Source organism: Homo sapiens, chromosome 2, assembly GCF_000001405.40.
Source record: "Homo sapiens chromosome 2, GRCh38.p14 Primary Assembly".
NCBI lineage: Eukaryota > Metazoa > Chordata > Mammalia > Primates > Hominidae > Homo > Homo sapiens.
The window spans coordinates 199,441,547-199,464,130 of NC_000002.12; the positions used below are offsets into that span (position 1 = coordinate 199,441,547).

Here is a 22,584-nt window from a genome sequence, read left to right on the forward strand (position 1 = left end):
AAACCAGATACTACTTTGCAACCCCTGAGGCCAATCTTAACTTTGGACAATAAGAACAAAAATAGGCAGGGATGAGGATGGGAGAGTGGACGCTAGTCCTCGCTCACTGACCACCCCGAAGGATCAAACTGGGCCTAAAGTGGTAGGGAAGGGAGATGAGTTCTGGCCTTCCACATCTCTGATTCCAGGCCTGACTCCAGGCAAAGCAATCACAATTCAACCTGAAGTCAGGTCCGAAGGCTGAAGGAGAAACTCCAGGTCTCTAAACATCCTTCGGTTATAGAAATTTAGTGGCAAGATCAAATTGGCCAGGCAGTTTGCAAAACAGTATTTCATGGGCACATAGGAGGCAATTTGTGGCAGCTTATCTAAACAAAAGAAGCCTGAGCCACACCTGGGAACTCTGCCACAGCAAGCCTGACCTACGGAACTAAATTCTCTGATGTCAGGAATGCCAAGGCTCTAGTGGGTGTAGAGGAGAGGCCCACCGTTTTCCTCCTCAAACATGGGCTGGACTTAGCTGCCTCATGCCCCTCCCAACCCTGAGCCTGACCTATATAGTAGGCCCAAAATAAATGTTGGTTAATCTAACAAAATGCCAATTCCAGTTAGATATTAATCACCACCATTAATAGGCAGTGTCTGCCTAGCTGTCAAACTTGTCCATATCACTCTGGCCCCATTGCACTGCACTCAGCATCAGCAAACAAGGAAAGCTTTCTAGGAAATGATCCACATAAGTGGATTCAGGAGCTTGCTCCATGTTGTCCAGGGGATGTTGGCCAGATCACAGCGCTGTGCGTGACCACTATTGACAGAACTTGTCAGGGTATCACCACGGGCATCGCATGGATGGGTGCGTAACAAAGTGGCATGCTGCACCATGCTCTGTATACACCCTAGAGCCACGGGGGTCTTGTCGGCAGTCCTACCCATGTCCTGCACTGAAAGACTACAGTATCTTTTCTAAATTTAGTAACTACAGAAAGACAAAATGTTTAATGATCCTAGAATTTAAAAAACAACAACAAAAAATGTTATAAGGACAAAAGAGCCGGGCACAGTGGCCAGAGCCTGTTAAACCCAGCTACTTGGAAGGCTGAAGTGGAAGGATCAGTTGAGCTTAGGAGTTCGAGGCTACAGTGAGCAATGATCTCACCACTGCACTCCAGCCAGAGTTACAGAGCCAGATCCATCTCTAAAATAAATAATTAAATAACTTTTAAAAATAGAAAGGAAAAAAACAGGATATACAAGTTTGAATATAACAGAAAAGTTCAAGGGTATGGCATATTGTTGAAGTATCCTTAGTTCAAGCCTAAATTCTTCAGGTTCTTTTTACGATAGGTTAAAAATGCATATATGTATAAGTCCTGAGACTCGACCACATGTTAAAAATGACTCTACCATAATTTATGAATGCTAGGGTTTCTGTCCTTTGTTAAGTAAAATTTCATTCTGGAGGTTTCTGAGAATTTTTTTTTTTTTTTTTTGAGACAGAGTCTCACTCTGTCGAAAATAGTATTTAAGCAGAGATCGATTCACCTCCCCACCTTATTCTCATCATCCTCTCTGGAAAAGCTATTTGCAACTCAGAGTCCCATGCATCAAAAAAGGAGTCAATGAAAATTGTCCTTATACTAACATTTACTTCAGGTTTTGAGCTCTGCCTAAATGTTATTTTATCTAATTCAAACAATTAAAAAAAAACAGCTTGATTAATTTCTCCAGTGTAGTGTTAAGGAAAGGTTAACAGTACTGAGGTCCTCTTGAAAGGAATTAATAAAGGAATCAAGTGCTCAGCTCTCAATAAGACAAGACTACCCAGATTTCTAGTGGGAATATTTCATAGCACAAGCATGTTTTCTTTGGGGAGTTTAACTCACAAAAATTATTAAAAATTGAGATCAAACACTGGTGCAGAGCCTCAAAGGAAATCATACTAGAATGGAGAGATTTTTATCAAATAAAAACTGAAAAGTAAAGTTATAGCAAAAAAAAAAAAAAAAAGGCTTTCTCCCTCACAAAAAGAAAATCCTACTGTCTATGTTTAGAGTTCAAACAGCAAAACATTTACGGATACTTAATAGATGTGTAGAAAGCAACACTGTGCAATGAATGCAGATTTCACAAAGCCGAGCTTAAGCAGACAGGCAACTACCACCACCATTTCTCAGCCATTAAAAGCCACTCTCATTCTTATATTCAACAAATGCATCCATCAAGACTCAATAACAACCAAGCTGGTGAAAGGGCTAACGCTGAAAGGAGAAAGAGAAAAAAAAGCAAGAGGGAGAAAGAGCAAGAAAGTCAAAATCATAGTGTGTATTCTCCAGTCCCCTTAGGGGATCTGACTGAGATCTCTGGTTTGCAATACATAGGATATTATTATTGTGACTCAGATCAAGTTAATAAAACCCAGCCTACAGACCAGGGAAACCAGGGTCTGATGGAATACTTCCCAGACAAAATATTTTAAGTATATATGTAGTGCCTGTGTAATTTATAGAAATTAATCAGAAAAACAGAACAGAGAAAACTAGCATTTTTTTCACTTTATGGTTCTAATACATCCTCTTTATAATTTATATAATTTCCAAAATAAAATATTAAAATAAATATTTTAAAAATGAAAGAGACTATTTAAGTCTCTGCATATAAATCTCTTGGAAACCTTATGTTCATCCTGAATATGTTTATCCAAAGGCTATCACCCAGCCAATGAAAGAGTTATTCCACTTTTTACTGCCTTTGAGAAGTGTTATCAAAGCCTAAAGTGATTTGTCTCCTGGACAAAAAAGTGAGAAATCTTTTACCCTAAATAAAATGTAAGAGTCTACCTTCCTCAAAGCAAAAACCCTGGAAGACTACTGCAGCATTTTAAATTGGGAGTAATTCCAAGTATTAACACCTTAATCTCAAAAAGATTTCATTTTCCCTAGAGTCCTTGGTTCATAAATTATTTAAGGATAAAATATTAATAATTTCTGAGCCACAAAATAAAGGTATTGGTGTTGTCCCCCTCCCCCTAGAAAGCCAGTTTCAAAACAGTTCTATTCTGACAAGCCCAATACAAAATAACAGAAACACAAGTCAAACATTATTTCAAACTCCATATTGAAGGAGGAAAGAATTTCATCTGGGGTTAACTTAATAGTATACGTTTAAAGTTTGTGGGTGAACTCGAGTATCACCCAAGAGGTAAGAGCTACTATTTTATCTTGGCACCATCACGCTACATCTAGATGGAGATGATAGAAGAAACTATACATGACAGTTTCTATAAGTTCATTTATTTTGTTAACACAAATAGGATCGACAAACAGCTATGTTTTCAAAGAGCAAGCCTGTGTTTATTCTATATATGAGAGGCTGGCGGCGAGAAAGATGGCTTTACTGAGTCATTCTAGCAAAGGAAGAAGAGAGCTGCATCTCAGAAGCCTGCCTTGGTTAAAAAGAACTGTCTCCCACAAACTCACTTTCAAGCTATACATCAATCTTCAATATAATTATGTTTGACAGAATATAAGCTCTTGGCAGTTAACTTGTTTACAATAAATGCTTAGTTTGGGTACATGGACTGTATTTCAGTCCTACAAATATCAAACACAAACCTACAACAGTCCCGTTATGGAGCTGAGAATTATTTTGCTATAAATCTTTTTATTGGGGGGCCAAGGGAATTACTTTGCAGCTTGTTTCCCACTAACCACCTGGAACAGTGTGAAAAAAGAGGTACATTTATGCTCTGACCCTGCGCTAATTGGAATCCTATACATTTCCACAGGAGAATGTTCAGTATCAATCCTGAACATGCAGGTCAGTCCCCAGTTCTGCCATGGCAGCAAAAAATACACATGAAACAAAATGGTTCTTACTAAAGTCACGGCATTTTCATACAGTTCTTTTCCTCCTCAAAGTTTCTTGGGAACTAATGACCATTTGTAACAGTGTTGGCAGACTTTCAATGGTAAGCCCCAGTTTTGGGGGAGTTTATAAGTTAGCTGTAAAAACGTGCTTAAGGCTCAAACTTGCCATATGAAAGAGGCTGTAAATAGAGGTAGTTTTGCTGCATATTACCTAGAGATTCATTTGAGAAGGAAAAAAGTCAGGATCACCTTATTTACCCTTGTAAAGTGACTTTACCTGGTTATTAAAGGTGTAATAACTTCCTATTCAGGGAACAATTTGCTCTTCTTATACTCCGTCGATACTAAAGGGTTTGGGGTGTTCTAATACCACATTTCCCAAATCTAAAGGGCAACATCTGAATGGAGATGTCTGAATGGAGACTCTAGGAATGCTTCTCTCCTGACAGGCACCTTCACTCTGAATACCTTCTGGTTTTCGGATGAAGACAATTTATCATTGCAAGGTTTCTTTAGTGCTTTCTAATTTCCCACTTAACATGTAATTAGATTCCTATAATAACTCAACTTTAACATAGTATTAATACATCAAAAAGATCATATTAAGGATCACAGTTTATTTTCCAAAATAAACAATACTGAAAAATTCAGTCACGTAATGACTTAATATTAAGATTCCAATTTCTTCCTTTCTAGTCAATGTTACAATTACAGGTGACAAAAAACTTAAAACATGTTTGTCTCTCAGCTTCTAATAAAGAAGAATAGCAACTGATTTATAAGTTTCAACTGTCATGCAAAATGGTTTTATTAAAAAATTTTACCACAGGGTTTTCTTGTATACAGGGGAGAGGGACAGAAAAGAAAAATATTTTCACTACATTATCAGCCTCACAGAACTTCCTTGTTAATACCAAAGCACTATTTTGCAATGTGAACTAATGGAAAATTGTTAAATTCACCTAAAATAACTACTCCTTTTTTTAAACTAAAGAAACCCTTTTAAAACCTTGACTATTTAATTGCTGTTTACTTGGGGAAGAGGGACATGGAGAAGGTGATCGTATGAAAAAAAAACCAAAACACTTTCTTTTAATTGTACAACAAAAATTCCTTCCAAGGCAAAAAGACATTATGCCAAGTTCCACCCAGAATTAATGTTTAGGTTTAAATTATAAAGTCCAGAAGAAACGGAACCACTAATAGACCCTTAAAGCTCATGGCCTTCATCAACACTGTTAGGTTACGCAAATGTTAAAACTGAAAACCCTTTGCTGACAAAAGCATTTTAATGAAGGCACTATTAACTAGGCTCTATGGATTAAATAACTTTTTTAAAAAAGCTTTTTTGGGGCTGTTTGATATACATCCCACTCTAAAAGGGATGATAAATGCTCGGGAGAGTTCTGAAATTATGAGACCTCCACCAGGAGGATGTACTGCCTATCTTGTTTCTTTCATTTTGTCACCTCAGGAAGGTTTTTAAATATTAAATCCAAGAAACTCAGCGACAGATGAAAGAAATATTCCCCCCTAAGTCTGTCAACTGAGTAAAACCTGGAGCTCTGACTACTCTGATGGCCGACATTATCTGCAGTTTTAGTATCCCCACCACACATGGGGGTAACCCGAGTTATCCCCACCTCAGGTATCCCCACCCTAAGTCAAGGTTCCCGGGTGAACTCCACCGTCACCACCTAGGTTTCTTCAGGAGCTCACAGTTTCTATTAATAGAGTAACAAATACAGCCCAGAGTGAGGCAAAACGAGCCCCAGGCAGCCCCTGCTGCCTGGCGGTTCATTCGGAGTTGCTGAAAGCATAGCTCTGTGGAATGAGAGCCAGAGTCTCAGCAATGTTAAGGACATCGATTTCATAATTCAGAGGATTGCAGGTCGAAGCAAGAGCCTCTGCATTTCAGGTGACAGTCAGGTGAGTACACCTCAGGTGATGTGCCCACAGAGCAACTCAGGTTACCCCGGTGTGTGCTGAGAAGAAATGAGGGTGCTCATTATTCAGCCTCAACTCTCTCCCCTTCAGCCTAGTTTGGACTTTGGGAAGAGGAAGAACAGCAGGCCTAGGAACCCCATCTAACCCTTACTTGGCTGGGCTTTGTAACAAGAGGAACATTCATTACTTCTGACTTCCATTTACAGAGACAAAAAAAAAGGAGGGGGAGAGAGTAGTTCCACCTCAGGTAGAATTTAAGAAAATGGGATTTTCCTGGTCAAACTGTGTATGAAGACAAAGTCAATGGTCATTTGTAATGTCTCCTGGGCAACCACTTTCCATGGGCTCCTCTTTGAACTTCCCAGGGAAGAATGAGAGCCAAATGGTCTCTCCCTAAAACAGATTTTAGCTAATAAACACAACAAAGTATGCGAAAAGCACTTCAGTTTTTCTGCATCTTCTCCAAGACTAAAAATTTGTACATTGTGTGACAGGTCCACCTCATTTTTCTTAATGATGTTTTTATTATTCTTTCACTCAATTAAAGCAGAAATGGATATTGCATCTTCTGACTGTATAATTGTTATTGTAATCTGTTTTCGATCACTGCTTGGGAAATGGGTCCAAAACAACATAAACTCTCCACTGCCTCAGAAGACAAGTCATTTTCTTTTACTACGACACTTAAAGAGACATTTATCATGCTGCTCTGTTAGCATCTTTGGATTATGACAAAAGAAAGTTCTTGTTCTGTTAACCCCCAAAAAATAATATTTCAAAAATGCTATTGCTATTTCAAGTGTTTTGATATGAATGCATCGTCAGTAAGCTATTAAATATATCAATTTTGCCTTTCCTTATATGTAATAATAATTGAAACAAATGCAATAAAAGTACTCAATTTTAATATAGGACATAATTGGGAAATCTAAAAATACAGTTATTTTTACTTTATGCCTTTGGTCCTTTGGTCCTTTCCCAGGAGTCTTGGGCATGGCATCCAATCAAATTTGCTCTCTTTGCAAAGAAAATATTTTCTTGTGTTAAAAAAAAAATCAATCACAATCAGTTATGAAAGAACTGATACACTTGCTTTCCAGCCAAATGCAAAAACAAGTAAAAAGTATTTTTTAAAGAAAGAAAAAGATATATGTGGTTAACGTGATGAAATTCACGCTGTTTCTACGACAAACCCCTGCAAATCACCTCTGTCAGATCTTAGCACTTTGGAAAACATTTGCTCTAACTAGAGTCTCTTATTTTATATATTATATACATAAATATCTGTGTAAGTCTTCAGTCAAATAAACAAAAGAAAGACACTGAGCTGCTGTGCACATTTCAGTAACTGTGCAACCATCAGTGGGCACCAGTTACCCTGGTTTGAAATGGATCCCTTTTGATAAATAGTAGCTTGCAGTGCCTCCCCTTAATTTTTTGATCTTTTTTGTTATTTTACAGTTTAATAACCAACTGTACTACGATAGAACTCCATTCCAATGATACGGCTACTAGGTAAGAGCAGAACTGAATCTGCCCACACACTATTAGTGAGTAACAGTACCAGGAGCAACTAAAATTGAAATATATTTCCCCAGAAGGTTTTCCTGTCCTATGTGTCATAATCATTAATAAAGAATATGCTTACTATAAAACTGACATAGTTTGCTGATAACTTTATTGCAAGTTTCAAATTCTTAAAATTTCTATTCATGCTTTTATCTGCATTTTAGGCATTTGTCAAACTAATAACCATAACATCCACTTGTTTAAGTTAAAGGACATCAATTAAAAAGGGGAAAAAAAATGCATGCCATAAACTCTATTGTCATAATTATATATCTAAAGCACACTTGTTCCATATTATGTCTTTTTATCTAGTTTTTTAAAAATCTGAAATAAGTAAAACTTTTTAATTGAGCAGCAAAGATACAGAAGTTGTAGAATGCAATTTCTGATGTAGCCTTTCAGTGCCACTTAATTATACTGATTTTACCACAATTCTTAAATCACTTGCTACTAAAAAGCAAAATAATTCTGTTAATTGAAACAAATATATATAGCTAGAGTTCCATAATTTTGAAAACTCCACCATGGAACATTTTTACAAAAACACTGTAGCATGTTATGCTTACAGGGCTTGTTTCTACATAAAAGAAGAAAAATAATGTTTGGTTAATTGCTAACAATAAAGAGCAACGGAAAATAGCATACTATAATGACTACAACTGTGCTTTTTTCAAACTCTGTAAGTCCTCAACTGGTTTTTGTTTTAGTCATACCTCAGTTCCACTCAGGGCATCTACTTTGACTTTGAAATATTTATCACATTACATTTAAGTAGTAGGATGATGAATCTTTTGTATATAAAAATCCATTTTCACCACAGACATTTTCAAAACCTCTATTGCATTTTAAAATAACAGGAATTCACAGCTCTCCTTACTGGCACCCTAAATTAATGCTGGAGAGCAGTGTTGATTGGAAGTGAAAAAAGACCATACAATCAAAGTCAGTAGAGGCAAATCATTCATTTAAAAATTGCTACAAAGAAAAGAATAGAAACTAAAAGGCAAACTCTTTTCTTCATTTTTTTGAGTTAAGCATAAAGGTCTCCTACTCGAAACCATTTTAGGTTATTTCTCTGTTTTTTCCAAAAAATAATGAGTTAAAATGTATGGGTTAGATCCAACATTTCACTGCTGTTCTTATTCTTGGGGAGTGGGGGAGACGGGGAACTTGCTGCCAAAGCTTCTGAAAAGAGACTTTGGGCTGCTAATTTTCCGTTCACAAAATCTAAATTCCCCTTATGCATTCTCACACAACTCATGAAATAATATGAAACAGTATTATATCACTGCAAATTGAGACATTTTTATCAAAATAAAGAGTGATGATGCCAACATTTCATTTGTCATTTCCCACTTGTCACTTTTCACTGACAAACTGTTACACATACAACTTTTGTCAAATGCTCCATCTTTAAATATGTTCCAAAATGCCATTGTATCTCAGTATTCATGTAAGGAAGATAGTAAAAATTACTATGTTACCATATATTAGTTATATAGGTTTTTTAAAAGCCTACTGATTAAACAATATAAAGAATTCTTTATTAATTTACATGCTATATAGGATAAAGTTTGGCTTTCTGAAATAAAACAATGTACATATTTTACACACCTAATGTGGGTTCTTAGTCATAAGAAACATTTTAATGGTGAGAAATTTTATTCCAACAGAAACCTAAAAAGCTTTAAAAGATAAGTATAACCCAAGAAAATAATACTATTTGGAATTCATCTAGCCCTGTAAATTTAACATGTCTTTTTAAATATATACACATATGCTGATTCTATAATAAATACTTTTTAAAAAGAAAGAAAAATAGGGGTTTTAAATTATAACCATCAAACTTCACTGCTTACTACTTTGTCAGATATACCAAATAATTACTGTAGTCTTTCCTGGAATAAAACTGATTTCCGTATACTTAAAATGACTCAAATTCATATTCTTAGCTATCTAATAAATGATGATTAGTCTGTTTTCCCTTCTCTACAGAGATAGATTGGTTAAAACAAAATTCAAGAAAGAAAAGAAGAATTCAAACAGGATATCTCATATGTACAGACTTTGCTGGTTACAACCCTCTGGGAAAGGATGATATTGCTTATTTTCTGCAGGGGTTAAAAAACAGATGCCTTAAGGGACATCTATGTAGTTCCAACACACACACACACACACACACACACACACACACACACACACTGCACTACAGATGATCTTGAGTATACAATGGTCAGTGGGTTTCTTCTGATGGAACATAAGGCTTCCAAAATTACTTGAAACATCAAATTATGCTCAGGACTTTGAGGGGCGGATACCCTATGTTCTGTTTAATGTGTATGTTCCACTGCATATATTTTTTTAACCAAGTATATCTTTATTTTAATAACAGGCCAAGAACTAAAAACACTTTAGAGAAGAGTTATTTTTCTACCTCAGCAAAACTACAGAGGACAGGCTAGATTGTTGGATGACCCCAAAGCCTAAGTTCATTCTATTTAAAAGATCTTAAAACCTTAAAAAAAAAAAAAAAAAGTGAGGAGGGAGAAATACAATCTTTTCTCTTTTGAAGTAATGTGTACTTCCTACAAATATTATGATATTCATCCTTGGGAATGGAGTTTTCTCCATTTTGCCCATGTTAACAATATATTTCTAAGTATTTTATAATCTCAATATATACCTATCTATACTTTCATATCTGCATTCCTTTCAAAAAGTTAAATGTCTCTCTACTGTTGCTGATATGGTGACTACACCTGACCCGAACTGCATTTCTTTTCATCTAAAAGGAAGTGTTCCACATGTAGACAATTAAACTAACTGTTGTTGTAGACAATGTTCAGCTTTAAATGAGGCCCTGACTAACAATCTTGATCACATTTGCTTCCCTATTTGAATACATCAGTGTGTACTGCATAATGATTTTTTTCCCCCTTGCAACAAGACAGTTATGTTCTTGAAAGGGCTGCCTGGTAGCACGAATAGGTCTACTTCAGGTAGACTAGTTATAAGATAACTTTAACAGACAGTATGCCAACAAAATTAAATTGTTATTTATAAAACATAAATTATTTTTCAGAAATAAGCAAGTTTTTTTAATAAAAAAAGCAAATCTCTCTAAAAGATATTTTCAATGTTTAAATATTTTTCCCTAAAATGTAGAACATTTAACACCAAAAAATCATAAAAATTCATAGGAAAATGAAAAATATCAAAAAGATTTCTGATGTTTAATGTCTCCTATCAGCAAATACACCATCTGGTATATTCAAGCGCTGTTCATTCAGTTTAAATAAAGCTGTCTGAAAGTTCTTCTTTAAGCCAAACATTAAAAAATGAAAATGCTTGTGTTAACAATGAATGAAGCACAATAATTTATTGCTATTAAAGCACAACTGGCCAGCACCTTTCAGCAGTCCAGGAGAAAAGCAGAATGCCTTGCTTCCTCTGGAAACTTGATTGGCATCACTTTCATTTTATGCTGTAAGTTGCATGGCTGAAGCATTCCATACAGCAGAACATTTTAGGTACTTATGCTAATAGTGGTAAAAAGGATCATCTGATTCTTATTTTCATCATCCTTAATAATCCCTTCTTTTCCTAAATCTTCAAATAGATCTGTAAGTTTTAATCAACAATTTCACAAATATAAATTTCCCCACCATTAATCATCCTTTTTCAAAATCCTTATGGAGTGAATTACTAGCTGAGAGGGGACGCCAATTCTAGTAAGTGAATGTTACCCAGCAGGGATATAAAGCTGTCAACACCATGGTGCTCTTGCTAGCTCTAAACTCTCTCCTAGCCTTCATATGTTTTTTAAAGAGATATTAGCCTTTTTTTTTTCCTAAGGACCGTCTGTAAAAGCTGACTGACATACACATCTGAGCACTTACATTTTATTACATACATGCTTTAAAACACACTGCTCAGATAAGAGTAAAAACATCCCAGAAAGTGTTGGAAAGACAAAGCAAAACATCTAGTTTCTAACAGTCTTCTAAAGCTAACCACATAGTAAACAATCCACTTTTAAGTCCCCTGTTAAAACACAACCTTAAAGACAGTGACAGTGTATCTACCCTCTCTTCTATTTAAATTGAGACACTAAAGTAATGCCCCTTCTTTTATGAATACTTAGTTCTCATCAAAAAACACAGTAAATTCCCTCTACCTAAATAAGTAGAGTAACAGCAGAATTTATTACTGCAACCAATGCATTCAGAAGTATATTTAAACTATATTTACCTCACTGCTTATCAAAAACAGTAAGATAAATTGCTATTTGATTTGACAACCAATTAACTTGATCTCCCTTATTTTTAAAAGAACAGCTTTTAAGAAAGAGGAACACTAAAGATTAACAAATATGTACTCCCAAATTTTTGGCTCCACTTTTAAGACAAATTTTATTGTATCCATCATTACACCATTGAAAAGACTGCAATATATCTGAAAACGGTAATAAATGATACAGAGCTATAAATACTTGTGTAGTTATCTATGCTTATTATATTGCTTTATAAAGAAAATTTAAACAAAAGAACATAGAATGGTAGAAATATAATCTACTTTATATTTACTCTATGTTCAAAAAAATCCTTTAATTATAAAAAAACTAACTAGAAATGTATTTTAAACATTTTTTAAAATTTAGAATGTGCATTTTTCAAAAGGCCTGGCTTTGCTCCAAACTGTATACATGGTTAACAGTTACAAAGAAACTATTAACATCTTAACATACATTTGGAAATTATATAAACTTAAACTCATAATTTTGTTAACATTCAATTAGAAACCTTTGTACTATCAAAATCTTATCTTCTAAGTTGTTATATTCTAAAGTTGTCTAAATTAATCTCTTTACACACTATTATGCTGTCTTTTTTAAAAAAATTTAAATTCCACTAAACAATTTTAACCAGTTTACTATCGTGTATTATAAACGATATGTATTGAGACAAAATAATGTCATCTTTATTTTCAATTTGGGAAGCAGCTAATAAGACCTCTGCTATTACTAAATTAAGTTAATCAAGAGAAAGTGTCTAAGGCAGCTGGTTGAAACAAATCTATTATTCTTCACCAAGATAATAATTTTAGTTTATATTAAACACATAAGGGCTCAAATGTGAACTATAGTCTCAGAAAATTTGAAAACCAACCACTATTTAACACTAAAGTTATCCCTGGTCAACAGAACAAGGCACTTTCTTTCATAGTTCAACATGATATAGAGGAGGGGAAAAAACTTGTTTTAGGGAAGCACGTTGTTAACAATTACATTCTAAAATGTTTACAGCTCCTTTCAATTTAGTGAATTTTATTAGATCTTCAGAAAGATACCAAAATTTTAAGTCCAAGCCTTTTCTGTCCACAAAGGCCACTTTGGAACACACTGTCTCCAAGGAGTTTCAGAACTTTTTCAAACATTTTCAGCACTTAGCATATCTCATAATTGGTACCATCATACTCTATGAATTTTTATTTCTTATATGCATATACTAACTGATTATGCCAAAAGTCTGACATTATTTGCTCCAGTATCAGGACAACAAATTAATAAACCTCTCTTTTAAAAAGTGGGTCACAGAACTGTTTTCTTTTGCTTCAATAAAGTATATTTTCAAGTCCCAAAAAGGGGAGATAAACAAGCCAGAATCCATCACCAAACTTTTTAACTCACAACATTGAAAGGATGAATACTTCTCAAGTGAGACGATTAATATGAAAGACTGAGACAAACCATCCTAAGTATTTACCATGAAGAAATAGAAATAGCAAAATAAGTAAAAAGAAAAAAATACGATTTTATAAAACGTATGTGTTCAACTCTTTAAGGAGGAATGAACATTTTTAGATGTAAGTAACTATTTTGAAATACACACAATAGACACTTACAACAAGGGGGTGGGAGCTTATCATTAAGGTTTGCCAAGGTTTTATATCATTTAAGACAAGTTAATATATTGAATATTAAATGGGCTACTGTTGAAATTATTAGAGAAAAAACGTTAGAGGCAAAAAAAATTAAACTAGTGATTTATGCCAAACACACAGAAAACCTGCATGCCATGTGGAATTGTGGATTTTACATGTAAAAGACAACTAAGCAAATGGCATACAAACTCCAAAATATTTCAATGTTTAAATTTCTCCCATATCTTTATTTTGTATGATTGCTTTTCCTGACCACTTTAAAAGAAAGTAGTTGCTTAAGTAGTAAAAACTACAAAAGATTTTCTTTAAATAAAATTATTAATAAATTCTTTGGAGGGGAAACTACATCTAGTTGATAAGGCTACTTTGCTATTTTTATCTGTTCTCCTATAATTCATAATAAAGTTACGAATGCATATGACTAAACTTTATAGACAACAGCAGCATTTAAGCTTCTAAGGGCCTGATGGATTCATGGTGATTCTTTATTTCCCACATTTCACGTGGCAGGAAATATTCCCAGTTGTCATTCATCTGTCTTGAAGCACTGTCCTCACTACAAAGTAACATCAACTCTCCTTGTTCCTGTACTCGCCTGAGCATTAATGACTATTTTATTCCCTAAAAGCGAACGCACGTGAACTTCATCCCTACAACAGACACTCCGAGGCAAGGCAAAAGAGTTAAATCACTAAAAAGCTCTCTAGGAAAATCTAGAAACAGTTAGCTGGCTGTGACATAAACCTGCCAACACCTCAGCACACAGTGGCAAAATGCCCAAAAAATGCCACCCTCTGGGTAAAACCACTTTCTTGTTTTAACTGGAGATGAAGCTACCAGTTGCAGATGAGAGGCGACGGGGGCATTATTTGGCAACCTGGAATTCACTTCCTGTAATCCTACACCGCGACAGCGCCTAATCAACCTGAACCCTGACACCCGGGCCATTATCACTGGGCCGCGGGCTGCGCGCCTCCCTGCTCCGGGCTGTTACCTCCCACGGCCTTGGCCACGGCGCCGTTGGGCCTCCCGCGGGCTCCCATGGGGCTGCCGTTCTGCTCCAGCCGGGCCACCTTCACTGGGGGAGGCCCCTTGACGTCCGGGCTGCCGCTCCGCCGGTCGGGGCTGTCCCGCAGACACGGGCTCTCGCTCCGCCGCTCCATGCTGCTCCGACTCGGAGACAAAGTTCCCACCGGCAGGTCGCAATAAAACGCACAGGGACCTAGGGAGGGGGTGGGGGGAGGAAGGGGGAGGGAGAAAAAAGAGGGAAAACCGCTCATACACGTGATAGACGTTCAGGCCAGTGGCAGAGCGCTGCACCACAGCCACACAAACTTCCTCCCACGCTGCCCGAGGGGCCCGAGCCGGGAAGCCGGTCCCAACCTTACACTGGGCGGCCCCCAGGAAGCCCAGCGCCTCGGTTCGGCGACTCTGCCCAGTCGCAGCTCCCCAGAAGTCAGCCCTCGGGGTCGCGGCCGGGGTTGGCACCCAGGGGCGCCTAGAAGTGGTCCATTCATTGGGACGGGGTTGGCATAAACCGTTCCTGGGTGCTACAGCCTAGCCCGTCCCGGGGTCAGGGTTGCGGAATAAGTGAACTTCAGAAAAAGACGTTCCACCCACATGGGAAGGGAGTTGGGGGTGTGCGCAAGTCCATAACCGAATTAACCACCCGGTAAATGCGCTGTGAATGGCCAGGCAGGAGCCAAAGGCCGGGCGAAAGAACCCCTTGAATACCCGCTTTTTACCTATACGGAGCAAGTCCTGAGATAAGCACACACCTGCATAAAATCAACCCTAATTCCACATTAATAAGCATCCGAAAACACTTGGAGGTATTTATCAGAATAACCTCCATCACAAAGGCGGGCGCTACAATCGTTATTATTTTGGAGCGTTCTTATCTTCATCTGATCCCCAGTGCTTTTTTAAAGCTCTTCAATATAAAACACAAAAGCAAAAAGCATTTGAATTCTTAGTGCAAGAGCAGCCTTCATCCGCCCCAATTTTAACATCGCTCCAGAAAGTTTTCCTCTGGGTCACTAGGTTGGCAGTGCGCTCCCCACGGAAGCCGCAGGTCTCGACACCCCTGGATTGGGGGGGTGGGGGGGGGCGGGGAAGGAGGGGAAACACCTGATGAAACGGCGCTCGCGTTGTCACTGACACCCGCAAGAAGCAAGACCCCGGCACCGTACTGCGTGCGCGCTGGGAATCCTCGTGGGCGCTCTGGCCGCGCGAGCAGTGTCGGCGCCACGGGTCAAGGAGACAAGGTGGGGGTGGCAGGGGGAGGTGAAAGGAAGGATGCGAGATGAAGACACGGAGCAGGAGGGCTGAGGGCGAGGCTTCCGCCTGCATTCCCCGACTTCGCGGTCCGAGAGGCCGAGAGCGGCGGGGAGGGGACTTCGTTGGCCCTGGGCTTCCCCGAACTCCCGAGCGCGGCGCGGGAGCCCTCGCCCTGCGTACTTACTGCTCACGGTCTGTCTGAAACTTGGCTGACTGGGGCTCTGTCCATGGAGCAAAAGTAGAGAATCCAGGGTGGAAAGTTTCTGGTGCTTGGCTTTGCAGTGTTCTCCTAGTCTTCCTCTTTACTCCTTCCCCTTCCCTCTTCCCCAGGTCCTAATGTTTAAGGTCCTGGGTCAGGGTGTCTTCTTCTGGTGCGGAGATGGTTGTTATGATGATGATGGGGGGAGGGAGGAGGGGGAGGAGGAGGAGAGGGAAAGGACTCCTCCAAAGGGACACCCGAGCGAGCGGGGGAGGGGACGGCGGAGGAGGGGGGAAGAGAAGGAGGCTGAAAGAGCCTTTTCACACCTTCGGGAAGGAGACCCGTTCTGGAGAGAAAGGGCTGAGAACCCGGAGGCGGCGGCGGCGGCGGCGAGCCGGGGCTGCTGGTTCGCAGGGCGGCTAGCTCGCGAGGAGGCGCGGCCAGAGCGGTGGGACCGGTAACACCAAGAGCCGAGAAGACGCAGGGACCCGGGACCGCGCGCGGGAGGAAACGCGGCGGCCGCCCAAGCTGTCACCTCCAGCCTCTCCCCTCTCGGCCGCCTCTGCCAGCAGCCAGAGCCGGACTCACTGACAAGCCGCAGAGAGAGACACACTGAGAGGGAGATGATTATTAGTTGCGTTGAGTCATCAGGCAAAGTGAGTCCTTTTGGGTTGTCCTCGGTTTCCGATTTCTCCCCCTCCCCCTTTCGGTCCCCAGATCTAGCGCCTTCAAAATAATAATTTGGGGTGGGGGTAGGGGAAGTCTCTGGATTATTTCGGGATGGGGGTGGGGGGGATGGATCTAAACCCAAGCCAGACTGGTCCACCGCAAGAAAAGAGGGGAGTGGGGGGCGGGGAGGAGGGCTGGGGAGGTTGCGGGGGGAGGGGGGCCCCGCCTGGCAGGAAATTAAACATCAATCAATCAATCGCTGTGAGCACGGCGACCCAACGGCGGCGGGGCTGCGAAGGAGGCAGAGGGACAGGCGAGGGGCGGGTGGGAGGCAGGGAGGAGGGAAGAGGAAGGGGAGAGTCGGCGGTCGGAGCGGGGTGACGAGGACCTCATGCACGAGGCGGCGAAGGACCGATGGCAGAGAACCGAGTGCGGCGCGAGGCGGTGGCCGCGGCCAGCGGGTGGGTGCGTCTGGGCGCAGGCGGGCACCGGGGCCCAGGGTCTGGTCCTCCTCCTTGTGGCGGGTCCAGGGCGCGGCCGCCTCGCCCAGCCCCTAGGCGCACTCGTCCCGGCGCGGAGGCGGCGGCGACAAGGCAGTCGCTGGGTGCCGCGTCTGCCGGCGGAGACGCAGACCGACGCGCAAGAGGCGACCGCGGCTGCCTCGGCTCCCAGCTCTGTTAACTGCGCGGAGTACTTTCGACTTTGGAGATAGGAGGGCGATCGCCTCCCCCACCCACCGCCTCCGCCCACCACCCACCGCCTCCGCCCCTCCGAGCAACTTTTCCCGGTGCCTGCGAGCTCCCCCTCCGCGCCGAGCCGAACGTCCCGGCCCGCCGCGCTTCGTGCCGCCGCGCGCGCAGGGAAGGCCGCTTCTCCTTCAAAGCTGGCACGGCCGCGAGTCCGGAACAATAGTCGGGGTGTCCCGAATGCCAGGAGCACGGCCACTGCCCGCCGGGCTGTGGGTGGCACAGGAATGGGGGTTGCGTGGTGGATGCAGAGCGGGGTGCATCCCTGGATGGCATCGCTGGAGCGCTCGCCGCTCCGGCGACATCGCGAGCGGTGCAAACCGGGCCGCCTGGAGCCCGTGACGCGGTGGCGGCGAGGGCGGTGGGGCTGCCTGTCCTCGGGCTACAGGACTGGGGCTCCTGGGGACCCCAAGCTGCTCGAGCCCAGGGCTGCTGGCGCCAACAGAGCTGTGCCCTGAGGACCCGGCCTCCCCGCCCGGGGGGAGGCCGCACAGGAGCGTCCCCAGCAGGTCCCGCGAAGGCGTAACAGAGCCACAAACTTTTGCCGACTCCCGCGGCCGCGGCCGCCGGCAGCCCGACTCCGGCCGCGGTGCTCATTTAAGGTGGCGCGGGCACTAGCCGAGCAGGCTGGCCTCTGGCCGCGCTTTTGTCCCTGCGATTCCGCTTGGGCGCGCTGCCTCCTTAAGGAAAAGCACGTGGGCAGGGGCCGCAGCCCCCGCGAGATACCCGGGGCGTCGGCGGACATTAGCCGCTAGGACCTTAGGCGAGAAAATGTGGACGCATCCCCGCCGGCCCTGAGGCCAGAGAATCCCCCCTCAACTGGTTGCACCTCATGTCCCTCCCGCACACGTTGACTCTCCCTCCTAATCCCCAGGACCCCGAGGGCTCTCCCACATCTCCCGCAGCAAGAGCCACCGATCCCCCTTAAGAAGCGTTGACTGTACGGCGGCGCCAGAGGGCCAAACTAAGTTCGGTTTCGGGAAACGCTCTCGGGAGCAGTTCTGTAAATCCCTGCTGGGAGCAGAGACTGCGAAAAGCTGAGTCCGCCGATCGTGCCCGGGACAAGGCTGCCTTCCACTCGCCCTCGCCGCATCTACCTGGTAGGCGGCATGCGCACGGGCTTAGAGGCTTGAGAGCCTCTGGAAGAGAAAGGGTCCCAGGAAGGAAACCTGCCCCCGGCCTAAGTGTCGGCGCCCAGATCACCACGAACCCCGCACCTAGGCGCCGCCCACCAAGTTCCAAAGAAGTCCGAGGCGACCTGGGAGTCGGTCGGATCCCAGCCGAGAAAAGAAACAAGCAGGATAGCAATTCTTAGGGGAGCCACCCTGGGAGTTTTAGGCAGCGTTTGCCTTTCCCTGGTTTTCTTCACCAAGCCCCATCCTCCCCCCGCATACCACCCCCAGTCAAAAGAGTGGGAGAAAATGCACAGTTCGAAGTCGGTGAGAGCAAAAATGGGTCTAGTAAATCAACCCGTGGTGGTAGCTAAAAGGTTTGGGGCTGCAAAGAAACAAACTGTAAGTTTTGAGCAACAAACTTTTTCTTCAATCTGTAATATGTCGAAATGGGAAGGGGGTGTTGCAAAAGCCAACTACCACTGTCAAACTTAGCCCGTTTACAACATGGGGAAAGGCGTATTTCTTACTAATATCTCAACAACGATAACAATGCTGTATCCTTCCTTACCTTGATGTTGAACTGCGAATCCTCCTCCGGATCAATGTCCAGGAACTTAGAAGAATTGGTGATATTAGGAGTTCAGTACTTCTGGAAAAAAATGCAAATGGTTTAGCCAGGATCTTTCCTGTCTGATTCGTCACTATTATTATATCTGATGATGCGAATGGTTGGAGCGATTCAATCCTAAGTCATTAATGAGCTATTTTATAAACACCACTGTCTGAAGATCTTCATTTACATTTTGCTAAGGATCACTTCGCTAACCTCACAGGCTTGTGTCAACAGCATGATTTGCAGGACTTCAGTTACACTCTTATAAACAACACGGCTGTATTGTTAATCGGTTAATATTTTATAAAGTGTAAATATTTTATTATGTTTTGAAGGGAACTATTGATTCTAAATTATTAAACCCCTGAGAAGGACTATTTAAATGAAATATACAATTAAGTACAATTAAATGTACATTGTGGTTAGTTTGTTTTCAGATTCTGCACCCTTTTAAATTCATTGCTTTTCTCTTTACTGGAGTTTCCTCTTGTCCATTTCTGATACTGAAAAAAATCTATCATGTTAGGAAAAAGCCTAAATTATTTAAAGTTGCATTAAACTTAGAGGAAAATGTCAAATACGATTAATTATGACCAGAAATGTATTTTGGATGTTTGTAGAGTTGTATTTCATATCACATTTTACAAATTTCTTCCGATTTAAAGGAGAGTTCTAGGAAGTTTTGTGATCTATGTCCGGTGTGGGTTTTTGTCCTCTCGAGTTTTGTCTCTAATAAAGGCCTTTTTTGTTTCAAATTACATACGCTTTTTACTGCACAATTTTTGTATTGACCTTATTTCAACTGAAGCGATTATTTCCAGCAGGTTTAATTTCGACAATAAGATATATTTTAATAGTTTTACCTTTCGCTAGAATTTTGTATTGTTTAAAACAGTAAATGAATAAATTTGCTGATGATTCAAGAATATTTGTTTGGTTTCGTTTTGTATCCCTCAAAAGGTTTATTTCCAAACTTTTTAAAACAAAATCACGAGAAAAGAGTTGTTTTAATTACGTTTGATTTTTAAAAATACTTTTATCTAAAACCCATTTTGTGCATTAGGAGATAGTTTGCTTCCATGCTCAAAACATGGAGTTCACATCTGGGGGACATTTTTATCCCTCAGTTTCCTTCTAACTGACGTTTTTGTCGGGAATCTGCTCAGACTTTTCCCCTTTTCTTCACCCACCTCCCAAGTTTTCCTTATGTAATTTAGTAAAAGGCCGCCTGTTTTTCACAAACACGGATTTGTTATTTTAAAAATCAATAGATCTTTATATGCTAGTGTTAAAGGTGTATGGTTTTTCTTATTTCCATCTTCTCTCCTTTTCTCTCTGTCAGGCCTTCTTTTATGGCCTGCACTCTAATGACGTTTCTTGATTTCTCTTTGTCGACACCAAGTTTTTGTTGTGCGTGCTTTCGACCCTGGTCAACCTTCCTTCCTAGAGGCCCGCTCCGGACAGCGTAGGCCTGGGCGCCTGGGTGGAGGGTGCAGGGTGCCGGGCGCGGGACTTCGGCTCTCGCCTGGGCCATCCCGGGCTCTGAGGGCCCGGCATCCATCCCCAAGGTCCATGGCTTTCAAGTTCGGTCACCCAGGCAGAGAGACCCTGCCTTTTAAAGAGCCCTGGAAAGTTGCGCCGCGTTTTCCCTCAACCCTGGAACACGCAGGGAAAACTATGGGAATCGCCCGCGTCAAAAGCTTTCGACGGCTTCTAGGAACCCAAGCGGGCCTGCCTCTTCCCCTGGAGCTTGCCCTCCTGGGGGCGGGAGGAGGGCGGGAGGGAATCATTTCTTTCAAATGAAGCCCACGCCAGCTCTGAAGCCAATTTCCGCCGCGGACTGTCCGTGGAGAGTTGGCGACCAACACTTTCTCGGACGGCATAACCGCGAGGGGCTTAGACTGGAAATCAGATGCGCCAAGAGGACAAGAGCCAGGGGCCAGAATACCCCAGTGGGGGACGCGCCTTGGAGGACGGTTCGCCCAGGGTGGGCTTCAGCCCTTTCCCAGAGTGCTCCGGGCGTCTGGGGACTGACCGGAGCGCAGGGCGGGGGACACTTACTTCGTTATCCGCACGCCTTCCTCGTTGGCATCAGAGCCGGACAAATCCCAACCCGCGCCAGGCAAAGATAAATGACTCCTGGCTCCCCCGGCAGCTCAGGGGGTCTGGGCGGGGGCGGAGAGGGAAGGAAGCCGTCGGCCGCCGGAGGTAGAGACTGTGGAGGTCCTCCTCCCGGCCCCAAGCGAATGAGCCCCTGCGGCCCGAGCAGAGAGATACGCCTCAGAGGGACGACTGATGGGGAAGGATGGTGGGCAACGAGTCTGCGCTAGGCGGTGAGCCTAGCACCCCAGAGGCCCGAGGGTCTGGGGCTAGTGGGGCCGACCGTTCAGGAGCCGGGTGGGCGGGAAGGGAATTGCCAAGGTCGGCCCAGGAGCTGCCTCAGGCGAGGACGGGGAGCTTTCTGCACTGGGCTTCCCGGGGTAGGAGATGGGCGTCGGGTGTGGGCACTGCCTGCCCTGGGGGAAGAAAGCGAGGAGATAGGTTTCAGAGCTGGGGGAGTCGTTGGTGGGAGATCTGGTGTCCCTTCGGCGGCCGCGGGCCGGGGGACCGGGGAAGACGGAGGGTCCTGCGGCCTGGAGCACCACCCTACCACACCAGGCAACGCCCCCCGGGGCGCCCTTCATTCTTTTGCAGAGCCCAGAACTTAATAGGTGGGTCCCCTTCTGCAACCACGCTGCGAGAGAATGACTGCCCTGCTAATCTAGTTTACTTGTAGAAATCGACTGTAAACCGGGACAACAAGGCAAGGGTGGGGGAAGAAAAGGAAGCGCCGAAGGAGCCGCCGCTGCGTCCCCGCCCCCAGCTCGGAGCTGCCGGGGTTGGGGCCCCGGGTGGCGCTCCCGACCCGCCGCGTTTTCCTTAGGGAAACACCGAGTGAGGCAGAGGATCTCAGGCCCAAGGTGGCTGCGAAGAGCCCCGAGGCCTCGGCTTGGCGTCAATGTCCCGCCACCCTCGAGCCCGGGTCACTGCCCGGGTCCCGGCCCGGAGCCCCAGCGTCCTCTCCCGACAGCGCCACCGCGTGGGCTGAGGCCGAAACCTTCGGCGCCGGCTCTGCCGGTCGCGTCCCGGAGCCAACCCTTCCGCGTCGCCTGCAGTCCACGGGTTAAGGATGTGGCGGGGGATGGGCAGGTCCCTGGCCCAGGGTACCACCGGGCCACTCAACACAAAAACGCCCTGGCGCGTGCAAAATACGAACGCCCACAGTTTGTCCCAACCCCTTGAAATGAAAAGTACACCTGGAAAGCCCAAGATAGCACCCGGTCCGCACCCCAAATTTCAGGCAGGCCAGCAGGCGTCCAGAAATCCGCTCCCACCCCTCGTAGGGGCAGGCAAGCTCAGGCAGCCGGGTGCAAGGGGGCCCAAACCGCAGTTGCCTCCCGAACGCTTTGAGGCTATGGGCCCACGCCGGTCTTGAACCAAGCGGAGAGGGCGAAAAAGCCCGCTGCGGGACCCACGGTCCCAGACACCTACTGGAGCCAGGGACGAGGGGGGCAGTGTATCCGGCGGCCCAAACTCGTAAGGAGTGGGGGCCAACTTAGAGGGCTTCCCGAGCTGGCGCCTCGCCTGTTTTCTC

The 22,584-nt window shown here is 43.5% G+C and overlaps 1 protein-coding gene across 6 annotated transcripts in view, besides 3 other annotated features; it reads right to left on the reverse strand.

Moving 5' to 3' along the window:
* The window catches only part of SATB2 (SATB homeobox 2), a 201,767-nt gene that overhangs the window by 172,047 nt on the left and 7,136 nt on the right, over window positions 1-22,584 (reverse strand). For 2 of the 6 annotated variants that reach the window (NR_134967.2, NM_001172509.2), the window contains exons 1-2: window positions 15,793-16,393; window positions 14,323-14,550 (exon numbers count right to left, since the gene is read on the reverse strand). Coding sequence is in view for 4 of the 6 variants with exons in the window: in NM_001172509.2 (NP_001165980.1) it covers window positions 14,323-14,491 (169 nt within the window). In the remaining 2 variants the exon portion in view is untranslated. Of the gene's footprint in view, window positions 1-14,322; window positions 14,551-15,792; window positions 16,394-18,905; window positions 18,991-22,584 lie in introns of those variants that run through there. The other 4 variants (NM_001172517.1, NM_015265.4, XM_047443775.1 and 1 more) reach the window with 3 other exon arrangements.
* Window positions 17,584-17,713: a silencer, noted in NCBI's record as "silent region_12219". NCBI's record gives its function as "represses an Ori minimal core promoter by ATAC-STARR-seq in GM12878 lymphoblastoid cells {active_cell/tissue: GM12878}" and the evidence as "EXISTENCE:reporter gene assay evidence [ECO:0000049][PMID:35858748]".
* Window positions 17,980-18,274: an enhancer, noted in NCBI's record as "tiled region #6083; HepG2 Activating non-DNase unmatched - State 1:Tss, and K562 Activating DNase unmatched - State 1:Tss". NCBI's record gives its function as "activates a minimal TATA promoter and a strong SV40 promoter by Sharpr-MPRA in HepG2 and K562 cells {active_cell/tissue: HepG2 | K562}" and the evidence as "EXISTENCE:reporter gene assay evidence [ECO:0000049][PMID:27701403]".
* Window positions 20,769-21,534: an enhancer, noted in NCBI's record as "H3K4me1 hESC enhancer chr2:200327038-200327803 (GRCh37/hg19 assembly coordinates)". NCBI's record gives its function as "activates a minimal SCP1, AML or CMV promoter by ChIP-STARR-seq in naive H9 embryonic stem cells {active_cell/tissue: H9 hESC(naive)}" and the evidence as "EXISTENCE:reporter gene assay evidence [ECO:0000049][PMID:30033119]".